Source organism: Homo sapiens, chromosome 17 (assembly GCF_000001405.40).
Source record: "Homo sapiens chromosome 17, GRCh38.p14 Primary Assembly".
NCBI classification, from domain to species: Eukaryota; Metazoa; Chordata; class Mammalia; order Primates; family Hominidae; genus Homo; species Homo sapiens.
The window spans coordinates 6829525-6841253 of record NC_000017.11 but is presented as its reverse complement, the minus strand read 5'-3'; the positions used below and the strand labels follow the sequence as shown (position 1 = coordinate 6841253).

The 11729-nt window shown below is 40.3% G+C and overlaps 1 protein-coding gene across 2 annotated transcripts in view, besides 1 other annotated feature; it reads left to right on the top strand.

Annotated features, from left to right (window-relative positions):
- Nucleotides 9513–9562: a silencer, noted in NCBI's record as "silent region_8079". NCBI's record gives its function as "represses an Ori minimal core promoter by ATAC-STARR-seq in GM12878 lymphoblastoid cells {active_cell/tissue: GM12878}" and the evidence as "EXISTENCE:reporter gene assay evidence [ECO:0000049][PMID:35858748]".
- The window catches only part of TEKT1 (tektin 1), a 33737-nt gene continuing 31532 nt past the window's right edge, over nucleotides 9525–11729 (top strand). For both annotated transcript variants that reach the window (XM_011524027.4, NM_053285.2), the window contains exons 1-2: nucleotides 9525–9605; nucleotides 10861–11067. In XM_011524027.4, the coding sequence (XP_011522329.1) occupies nucleotides 10878–11067 (190 nt within the window). In that variant the 5' untranslated portion in view covers nucleotides 9525–9605; nucleotides 10861–10877. The remainder of the gene's footprint in view (nucleotides 9606–10860; nucleotides 11068–11729) is intronic.

Genomic DNA, 11729 nt, shown 5'->3' with positions numbered 1-11729 from the left:
ATTGGTCTTGATCTCCTGACCTAGTGATCCGCCCACTTCGGCCTCCCAAAGTGCTGGGATTACAGGCGTGAGCCACTGCACCTGGCCGTAATACTAATTTTAAAATACCTTTCACGACTCAAGGGATCAGGCAGTTGTTCAAATTTTTCTAAAGGCCTGAAAATTTTCTAGAAGGCTTACACCAGCATCCATGACTATCTTCCTTTCTTGAAAACTGGACCTTCAGATCTTATTAATGTGTTTGATAATTTCATCATAAAGAAAAAAGACAACTGCAATGTGCAAACATACTCTGCCATAGCATAGAATTGTTCTTTGTAACAAAGTTTGTTCAACACAAACTTTATATGAAAAATAATGCCCTTCAAGAAAAAAAAAACTCTCAAAATATACTTTTCTTGGAAGCTTCTGGTATTTGTATGGGAAATGAAATCCAGTTTAACCATATATATATATGTATATTTTTTTTGCTTGTGAATTTTAAAAAAGATTACTGAGTGCCTATTTTGTTACAGGCACTCTTCTCAGTATTGGCTTAGCACCATCTTTAAAGCAATTTTCAGTGAATATAATATATATTGATTATATATTATACACTTCCTTATTGACTAATATAAGATAGAATAGTTAATTTCAAAAAAAAAAAAAGTTTTTTCCTGGGCATCATTTTAACAGAAGTTCTGCTTCCTTTTCTTTCATGCATAGAAAATGTGTTTTCTCCTAATGCAGAGGAGTGGGGATGCTTTTTCTGCCCCTGAGTGGCCAGGAGAGAACTGCTTTCTCTTTGTCTATGAACTCAAGGGCCAACATTATTCTAGCAACAGTAGGACAGGTGGCAAAAGTGTTCTGGTGTCCTAGTTGTCGCCATTAGAAAGTTCAGGCAACTAGAAAGTTCCCTGAGGTCATGCCCTGCAAGTTATATACCTTACATAATGAGGCACTGGAGAGAGAGCCCAAAAATTCCCAATTAAAAATAGGCAAGCTAGGTGAGGTGGCTCATGCATGGAATCCCAGCACTTTGGGAGGCTAAGGCAGGAGGATCACTTGAACCCAGGATTTCAAGACCAGGCTGGGCAACATAGTGGAACACTGTCCCTATAAAAAATTTAAAAATTAGCAAGATGTGGTGTCATGTGCCTGTGGTCCCAGCTACTCAAGAGGCTGAGGTGGGAGAATTGCTTGAGCCAGGAGGTCAAGGCTGCAGTGAGCCATGTTTTCACTGCTGCGCTCAGCCTAGGCAACAGAGGAAGACTCTGTCTCAATTAAAAATATATGTGCAAAAGTCAGTGTGTTTTGATGTCTTTCTTCAAATCACTTAGCAGAATTCCTGCTGTTTTCATTTACATTAGATGCTTGAGACAGTTTTCAAGTGAAATATTATTTTTAAAGTCCAAAATCCCAAATTGCTTTCAAGGTGAATAAAAGGATTTTAAAAGATTGTAACAATTTTATTTCTGTGATGATCACTGAATCTAAATTCTTCATTCTCTAGACAGGGAATCCATCTAAGAATTAAATGGAAGGGAAAAAATATATATTTTTAGTCTGTGATTAGGGGAAATAGCTCATGAGATAAGAACTGGATATAAATGGAAATATGTTCAGGAGGAATGAAAAATAGGAAATTTCATCAGAGAAATAGAAACTACCAAAACACAACCAAATGGTTGCATTCTAGAACTAAAAACATATGATATCTAAAATATTAAATTCACTGGATGGGCTTATAGCAGGATGAAAACGACCAAAAGAAGTCAGCAAGCTTGAAGACAGAAACATAGAACTTATCCAATTTGAAGAACACATAGAACAAAGATTAGAAAAAAAATAATGAGACATATCTTTGGACAAAATGAATGCCTTTTGGAGGGAAAAAGGAGCCAGAGGAATAGGAATGGGAAGGAGATTTACTTCTCACTGTATTCCCTTTTATATTTAAAATTTTAATTCTCAGTGTGTATTACTGATTTAACAGGAAATAGATACATATTGAATTTTTATGCCCTAGCCCTACCTTCAATGACTGAGTGAGCAGGTCTAAGAAGAACTTTATAAGAAGGTTTTTGTTTGCTATTGATATGAACTGCTAGTTAGGAACTACAATCCTGTGATATACGCTGTTTTTATCACTTATTTGTTATAATATGCTGCCTTGTAAATAAATATCCCTGAGTATGTTAAGACACCAAGAACCTTAAAGAGAAAGGAAGGACAGAAAATACGTATTGAGCATCTGTTGCAATTTGCCTACTGATATGGTTAGTATCAATATGGTGGAGGTAATTGAATCTTGGGGATCGTTTCCCCATGTTGTTCTGATAGTGATTGTGAGTGATAGCGAGTGAGTTCTCACAAGATCTGATTTTTTTTTTTTTGTTTTTGAGACGGAGTCTTGCTCTGTCACCCAGGCTGGAGTGCGGTGGTGCAATCTCGGCTCACTGCAACCTCCACCTCCCAGGTTCAAGTGATTCTCCTACTTCAGCCTCCTGAGTAGCTGGGATTACAGGTGTCTACCACTATGCCCGGCTAATTTTTGTATTTTTAGTAGAGACGGTGTTTCACCATGTTGGTCAGCCTGGTCTCAAACTCCTGACCTCAGGTGATCCACCCGCCTTGGCCTCCCAAAGTGCTGGGATTACAGGCGTGAGCCACCGTGCTCGGCCAAGATCTGATGGTTTTATTAGAGGCTCTTCCTTCTCTCTGCACTTCTTCTTCCTGCTGCCTTGTGAAGGTGTCTAGCTTCCTTCTTGCCTTCTGCCATGGCTGTAAGTTTCCTGAGGCCTCCCTAGCCATGCTGAACCGTGAGTCGATTAAACCTCTTTCCTTCGTAAATTACCCAGTCTCGGGCAGTTCTTTATAGCAGTATGAAACTGGACTAATACACATACATGATTTCATTTAATCTTTATAGTGCCCTATGTGGTAGATATTGTGTTCATTTGTCACAGATGAGGAAACTGAGATGCAGAGAGACAAGCAGTTTGCCCAACATCACACAGCTGGGGCTGGGCATAGTTGTTCATACCTGTAATCCTAGCACTTTGGGAGACTGAAGCCAGAGGATCGCTTGAGACCAGGAGTTTGACACCAGTGTGGACAACATAGGAGACTGTGACTCTACAAAAAAAAGAAAGAAAGAAAAGAAAGAAAGAGCCAGGCATGGTGGCAGGTGGCCATGTGCCTGTAGTCCCAGCTACTCAAGAGGCAGAGGTGGGAAGATCACTTGAGCCCAGGAGTTGGAGGCTGCAGTGAGCCACGATTGCTGCCACTGCATTCAGCCTGGGCAACAACAGAGCAAGACCCTGGCAAATAAATAAATAAAACTAAACATCCCCCAAACAAATGGACAAACAAACAAAAAACAAGGGAAACAAATCCTGCAAGTAGTATAAGCCTGAACTGGACTTGAACTTGGGTCTGATACCAGAGGCTGATCCCATGCTACCTACCCCAAAGCACCTAGCACTGTGAGATGCAGGGAGCAGAGCTTAAGAAGGGACTTGTTAAATGATGGATAAATAATGCAAACACTTTCTGATATATAGGCACTCAACTACTATTATTCAGGAAAACTACGAAATTTCTATTCATTATTCTGCCTGAATTACTTCTGGGGCCTCACTGCAAGAAGAAACAATGGTTAGGAACTGGAATTAATCCAAATGTAGGTTATGTAATGGCTTTACCAAAGCACCGATTTGATTTCGGCTTTCTTTACAGCAAATGACCAAATGTAGTGACTCTTTTAACTGGCTAGTCCTGACCCGGTTCATAGCCTATCACTGTAACTGAAATATTCTAGCCCTTTGTCTTATTTGTTATAAGACTTTCTATCTTGTTCCTACTTATCAATACTGGTCTAGAACTAATTTTAATAATAATAAAATAAAATTCAATTATTATTTTTGCAAAGGTAGTACATACATGTGTATGGTTCAAAGTGTAAAAGACACAAAAGGGTATTCAGTGAAAAGTCTCCTTCTACCACTCTCCCTGGACACCTAGTTTGCTTCACAGTCAGCCAAGGTCACCAGTTTCTTGTGTATCCTTCCAGAAATATTTATGCATTTACAAGCAAATATGTATATATGTTTTCTTCCTCCCCTCTTATTTATAGAAATATTTTTGAGGACAAAATAGATAATATCAACCTTTCTGCTTCAGCTACTCAGGAGGCTGAGGCAGGAGGATCACATTGATTTTTTATTGTTTTTCACTGAAAATTATCCTTTAGAGGTCATTTCGTTTGGCTACAAAAGGTCCTTCCTCATTCTTTTGTAGCTTCATGGTTTCCAATGGTAAGGATGTGCCATAATTTGTTTAGCAAGACACCTACTGATGGGCATGTAAGTTGCTTCTAGTCTTTTCCTATTACCAGCGATGCTGAAATGAATAACATTGTGCATGCAGGTGTCATTTTAAAGCCATCTCACCATTTCTTTCTTGCTTACTTTTGATTATATTTGGTCTTGTTTTTGGAGTACTTGGTAAAACCCTGAATATGTTCAACATTTGGTTTGGTTGCCTACAAAGCAGCCAAGAGCAAGCCTTCTAAGCCTGAACGAGTAGATACATATTCCCTGAGTGTCTCCAAAGCAAAAACCTTAGACCCTGAAAACAAAATAGTTTCATAAAAGTTACTCCAGTAATTTTTTGAGATGAGGCACTGCTCATCATCCTCAAATTCAAATTGCCAAAGCAGTCAAGATCCTGTTGTGATTCAAGAGCCCAGACTTCCAGACGTAGGAGACAGCCTGGAAACAAGGCTTCTGCTCAGGACCTTGTTGGCTGGGTGAAGAAGCTTACAGGAGAGCCCGTGGAGGCAGATGGGGTGCTCAAAGGATCACCCACATGGCTGGTTTTTCTTTAAGGAGAACCATACAGCAAGTGATGAAGGGCAGGAAATGGCCACTTTGCTCAAACTCCTGGAGGCAAATAGGAACAAGACTTAAGAAAGGTCTAGTCAAGCCTCCAACGTTACACATTGAAAAGATCATTATGCACTACCTTGAAAAGGACTAACCTGTCTCTTAGGAGCGTGTGAGTCAATATAGTGCTCCGACAATGGGTATAGTGGTTAGCATTGCAGGCTCTAGGGTCAGGTAATTAAAATCCGCCCCCTCCTTTTTTTTAACCATTTAGTAGCTGTAAGTAACTTCTTTGTGCCTCCTGTCTTCTAAAAAATTGGGTCATTAATCATAGCTCTCCTAAAGGGCTGTGTGTAGATTAAATGGGATAATATCTCCCAAGCACAGTGCCTGGCACATAATACATGCTTGATAAATGGTGGTTGTGGTGATCATTCGAGAAACAGGAAGCATTTCACCACTTAATTCTATACAAGAAGCTACTTTAAAATATCGTGACGACTTCTAGAAATCAATACATGTTGCACATATTCTTGACTATCTTGTTTCTAGCCTCAGGATTTTGATTTATTTTGTACTGTGGTGTCAATTACAGAGAAAAGCCACCTTCTAGAAATGAGAAATGGGGACCCTGAATGGAGCCTTGCTTGTGAACTGTGCCGGGACATCCTGGTGTGTGCCATACAGTCCTGTAATTGATCAGTGTCTTATGAATCTTTCCCATTTTTTTATTCCTTGTTGATTTGCTGTGAACACCTGAAAGAAAGATGGTGGAGAACATCTCTTCATCCTTACTGGCAGTGAAAATCTGTTATTTCAAAGGGGAAGCACATGCTTTATATCCTTTTATTCCCCTAAGGGCCTCTTAAAAGCACATCACAGTTATTTGGTAGGTTAAAATTCCAATGAAAAGCTTTTAAGTTATCATGTTTGTTAATTGCTAATTTGGGGTTAGCGTCATACAACAGGGGACTAAGTCCCCGCTACAGACGCAGAACACTAGGGTCTTGAATGCCCAGCTTCGCACAATGGCCTGTGATATTGATACTTATTATAAGGAATAGCAAGAATAAAGGGCTAGTGGTTTCTTATCAATGAACTCACTGCTCCACAGTGAAACCTAAGATGGAAAACAATTCACATCTTACCAATACCATTATATGAAGGGAGTCTTTTCCCCCCAATCTAGGTGCAGTTCAGTGGGGAAGTTGACACAGATCCCAATACTACTGGCAATGCTACCAAAACAGAGGTCAAGGGTCACAGTGGCCACTGTATGACAGTTAAATAAGAAGTGAATAAGATCTGATGTTTGGGTAGCACTTTTGCATCCATAAAATACTCAGGATAGCATGACAGATTTATCGAGGATGGGAAACCTGAGGCTTGTCCGTGGTGAGATCCAGGCTGGAAGCCAGTCTTCAGGCCCCTGGCTAAGTGTGTCGTCTCCTAGACATACTGCCTCTGTTCATCTCCCTCTGAATTCTTCTGGTTTCAAAATAACTAGTTAGCTCTGTCTCAACGCTTTCACACCTCCTGCTCTTCTATCGGCTGCCGTATTTGTGTCATTCATTTACTGAAATCATTTATTATAAAGAGTTTCTGCATTTTTATATTCTTTTAAAAGAGATAATAATTGTACAACTCTCAAAAGGCAAAAGATTATTCAGTGAAGCCTCCTTTACCCTCCACACCCCAGCCATCCAGTTCTCTTTCCAGAGGCAACCAGTGTTACCAGTTTCTTATGTATCTGTCTGGAGAAATTCTAGGGGTACACAAACAATTACATTTTACCATTTTCTATCATAACAATGGTAAAATACTATATATGTAATTCTTCTGAACCTTGCTTTTTTCATTTAATATATCTCGTTGGTCACTCCATATCAAAGAGATGTAAAAAAGATTTCTAATTATATATTTTACAGTAAAAAATACTCTATGACTGTTTCATAATTTATTTAATCAGTCTCCTCTTGGTGGACATTTGGGATATGTAAATTTTTTTCTATTAAGAACAATTTTGCAATGAATAACTTTTTACACACAGTTACATCATTTTGCACATGTGCAGATGTATCTGTAGGATAAATCCCTAGATGTGGAATTGAATTGCTGTGTCAATAGCTGTGCATCTGTAATCTCCACAGAAGGCAGAGACTGTGTTTTATCTTCATCTATCCTTGGTGTCTAGCACAGGTCTTGATACTTCATAGATGTTCAATAGGTATGTGGACAAATTAATGAATGAGTGAATTCAGAGAATGAGTTCAGAGAGTGGTCAACAAATCTTTGTTGAACAAATCAATGAATGAGTTCAGAGAATGAATGAGTTCAGAGAATGAATGAGTTCAGAGAATGAATGAGTTCAGCAGGGATGATCATGAGGGGGTGGTGACTTTTGGCACCATCTCTTGTATTTCATATACTACTCTGAAAATGACATCAAAATTTAATTTTCTTCATACTTATAACTTTCTTCTGTAGGTTTTTTATTTATTTTTATTTTTTTAGATACACGGTCTCACCATGTTGCCCAATCTGGTCTTGAACTTCTGAGCTCAAGCAATCCTCCCGCCTTGGCCTCCCAAAGTGCCAAGATTACAGGTGTGAGCCACCATGCCCAGCCCTTGTGCAGCTTTTAACTTTTCTCAGAATTTGTATTTGTCTATTTTTAACTTATAAAAATTAAAAAATATTTTAATAGGGGTCTGTGTCACCCAGGTTGGAGTGCAATGGTGTGATCATAGCTCACTGCAGTCTCAAACTCCTGAGCTCAAGCCATACCTCCCAGGCATTCCAAGTGATGGCACCTCAGGCATGCATCACGGAGACTGTCATCATTTATCTACTTTTTATTGCTCAGAAGAGACATAATTTCAACTCACCATGTGGTTATACTTCTGGGTTATGAATCATAGTTTGTATAACTCTTCTTAAAGATATTGTTCAAAACTTCTTTTGACTTTTAGTTGTAATTTGGACTCATTGCTTTTTAGTTCGGTAGCTATTACACCGAGCTTTCTTTTCATCACACAGCTGGGTTGGTTCCACTATGTCTTATGTCCAGTATCTTCTTCTTTCTGGATTTTTCACTTTTGCTCTATTATTTTTTTCCATAAAGAATGTACGCTCACCGTTTTGAGTACTGGCATGTCCAAAGAAATCTTTTATTTTGCTCTCATACATGAAATGCTTTGACTGGTTGTAGAATCCCAGATTTGAAATAATTTTCTATAGAATTTGAAGGCATTATCCTAGCATCATTTCTAGCAACCATCATTTCTAGCCACCTGTGTTAGAGACGAAACACTTGATACCTATTCTTTCTTTTTCTTCTTATTCTTTGAATTAAGAAATTCCACCAGAATAGGTATAAAGTTGGCCCTTCCTATCCGTGGATTCTACATCCTTGGATGCGATGACACACAAATAAAAAATATTCAGGAAAAAAATTCCACAAAGCTCCAAAAAGCAAAACTTGAATTTGTTGCACCCTGAGTGCTATGTTGAATCCATGCGAATGAAGCGATGAGTAGGCATGGTTAGACATTGTATTAGGTATTGTATTAGGCATTGTATTAGGTATTATATTAGGTATTAGGTGTTGTATTATGTATTGTATTATGTATTGCATTAGGCACTGTATTAGGCACTATATTAGGTATTGTATTAGGCATTGTATTAGGTATTGTAGCAATCTAGAGATGACGTAAAGTATGCCTATCTAGGGATGTGCGTAGGTTATATACAAATGCTACACCACTTTATATGAGACTTGAGAATCTGCAGATTTCAGTATCTGAGGGGGATCCTGGAGCTAATCACTCTATGGATTATATGCATAATCCACAGGGAGGACTATATGTAAGGAATGGGGGTGTGTGTTAATTTCAGGTGGGTCGTTAATCTAAAGACTTGAGTCTTTGGCTCAAGTTATCTCTCTCTCACTTTCACAATTGTTTTGCCATTCTCTCTCTTTTTTTCTTTCCTTCTGGAAGTCCTACTTGACAAATATTAAATCTTCTGGAGCTATCCCCTCAGATTTAATTTTTCTCCCATATTTTCCATCTCCTAGTGGATGCAGAGTGACTTCTGGAGTGTTTGCCTGAAGGCGTTCTACTCACACACCTGCCCTCACAGAGTGCCCCATCGGGCGCCCCACGCAGAAATAAGCCAGTTGTGGTAACAGACCTATACAAACTCTGGAGGAAACTCATTGTAGCTTACAGAAACAATCAACTTGGCTTCCTGATTTTTAACCCTCAATTTCGCCTGCGACTGCGAGGTCCTGGAGGCATCGCCCAGCCCAACCCCACTGTACAGCCGGGAAGTCTGAGAGCCGGGGTACAGCGCGACCCGAGATGATCCCGCCCGCGGGAGGGCTCGGACTAGACGCAGGTCTCCTGACTCCCAGCTCGGGGCTTTGGCCGCTGTCTTCTGCTTGGTGCCCCGCGTCTTCGCGGTAGGTTGAGGTGGCCGGAGCATCTGGCCCTACCCTTCCCACACGCCACACTCCTGGGTCTCTGGCTCTGGGGTCCGCAGAATTTGCGCCTGCGCTAAGCCTTTGGCCAGGCTGCTCAGTGGCGGAACCAGCCCTCTTTGCCCTGGCAACGCGTCACTTGTTGTCATGGAGACCGCGTTGTTTACCTCTCTGTTCTGCAAGAGCTGGAAGCTCCAGTTGGGGTAAGGAGGCTCCCATCCCGAGCTTGCGTAGTGGTTCTGTGTGGCGCTGAGGTAAGTAAACCATGACCCCACCCCACCGACCCCTACCCGCAACCCTCCCCGCCTAACCAAATCCTTATGACGTTGGGATGAGCCCTAATTTAGGTCCCCACCTCTCTGGGGGCTATTCAGACTTATCCAGGAGCCTTGGGTTAAATGCTGGGCTCCACACTCAGATAAATTCGGTAGAAGCCATAAAAGGGACTGGGCTAGGAAGAAACGGAGAAACTCCATGTTGTCTGAGGGGGCTGGGTGGGCTGAGGTTCTCAGCCTAGTCAAGATCTGACTCTAGTTTCATCCTTATATATGTGAAGGCTTCAGAGATCCAGAGGCCCCTAAGAGCAGGGACTCAGACCTTAGGGTAGAGATGGGAGTGGGGGCAGATTTCAGCCCTGTCTGAGGAAGGCAGTTCTCATGGTCCATCAGAGTTGTATGAAGATGAAATGGGTAATTTTAGCGTTTCCACTGCCGACAGCCTCTGCCAGCTGGCTTCCCCTGTGTTGTTCCCCTTCCTGTTCTCTCCTTTTCTTTGTCCTGGAAGTTTTCAGATTCTTTTATGTGTTGAACAAGTTCAATACCCAGTTGTCAGTTTACACATGTTACATTTCCTCCTCCTCCTCCTCCTCCTCCTCCTTCTTCTTCCTCTTCTTTTTCTTCTTCTTTTTTTAAGAAAACATCTCTGGGCTCATCTGTTTGGCAGAACATTACTCCATGACCCAACAATTCTAATGAGTTATAAAAATGCATACACGTGTTCACCAAAAGACATGTATGAGACTATTAATAGCATTCTCATTATGGCCCTGGAGTGTAAACAACCCAAATATCCATAAACAGTAGAAAAGACAGCTAGATTTTATTCATATAACGGCACCTACACAGCAACGAGAACGAACAAACTGCAATCATATAGACAATATGGATGAATTTTACAAACATAATGTTGAGCTAAAGAAGTCAGAGACAGAATAATACATACTGTATTATTCCATTTATGTTAAATTCAAAAACAGCAAAACGAATTTGTAGTGTTAAAAGTCAGGATACTGGTTACCCTGAGGGGCTTGAGGTGGAGTAACTGGGAGGAGGTTAGAGATGCTGGTAATGCTTGTTTCTTGGTTTGGGTGCCGGCTACACAGATAGATTTATTTTGTGTACAGATTATGATTTATGCAATTTTCCGTATATATGTCATCCTTGAATAAAAATTATCATAAAAAAGGACAAATTGCTTTCATTTAATCTAAAAGAGTCTGCTTTTGATCAGGAATTTGGAAACCTCAAATGGCTAAACTATTACAACCTCCACCCAAGTTCCTGCCCTCAGAGTGGCACATTGCTAACAAGAACCAGTACCACAGAGCAGACGCTCAAAGGTCCCGATCAGAACGCCTGGTCGCAGAAAGCCAGAGGCTTGTGGATGAAATTGAAAAGACCACAAGAAAATCTCAAAGCGATGTGAACAAGAAACTAGGTAAGACAACATGCTTGGCATATTCGTGAACATGCTAGGATGAGGCTGTTGAGTTTAGCTATAGTGTCATGTTCAGATGTGGCAACATATTATTTTTGAATATTAGAGAAAATCATGTGTATTCTCCAGGTTCTATGTTTAAGTTCACTGCCCTAAGATAGACACAAGGTAACCCAGCCTGATTTTCAGCCACCCATCATTCATTTATTTGTTGATTTGATGCACAGTTATTGAGCATCTATGGGCATCTATGTACTACACACTAGGCATATCACAGGGAATGATCAGAATCTCTGCTTTTTAGGGGCTTCTAACTTGAAGAGGATAAAGATACAAAAATTAATCATCAGAATACAGTCAGCCCTTTGTATCCATGGGTTCAGCCAGTTGTAGGTCCAAAATACTTAGGAAAAAAAAACAATAAAAGATTACAACAATTAAAGAATACAAATAAAAACAATACAGTTCAACAGCTATTTACATAGTATTTGCATTGTATTAGGTATTATAAGTAATCTGAAGATGATTTAAAGTATACTGGCTGGGTGTGGTAGCATGTGCTGTTAGTCCCAGCTACTTGGAGGGCTGAGGCAGTAGGATCCTGTAAGCCCAGGAGTTAGAGACCACCCTGGGTGATATACCAAGACCCTGTTTCATAAAAA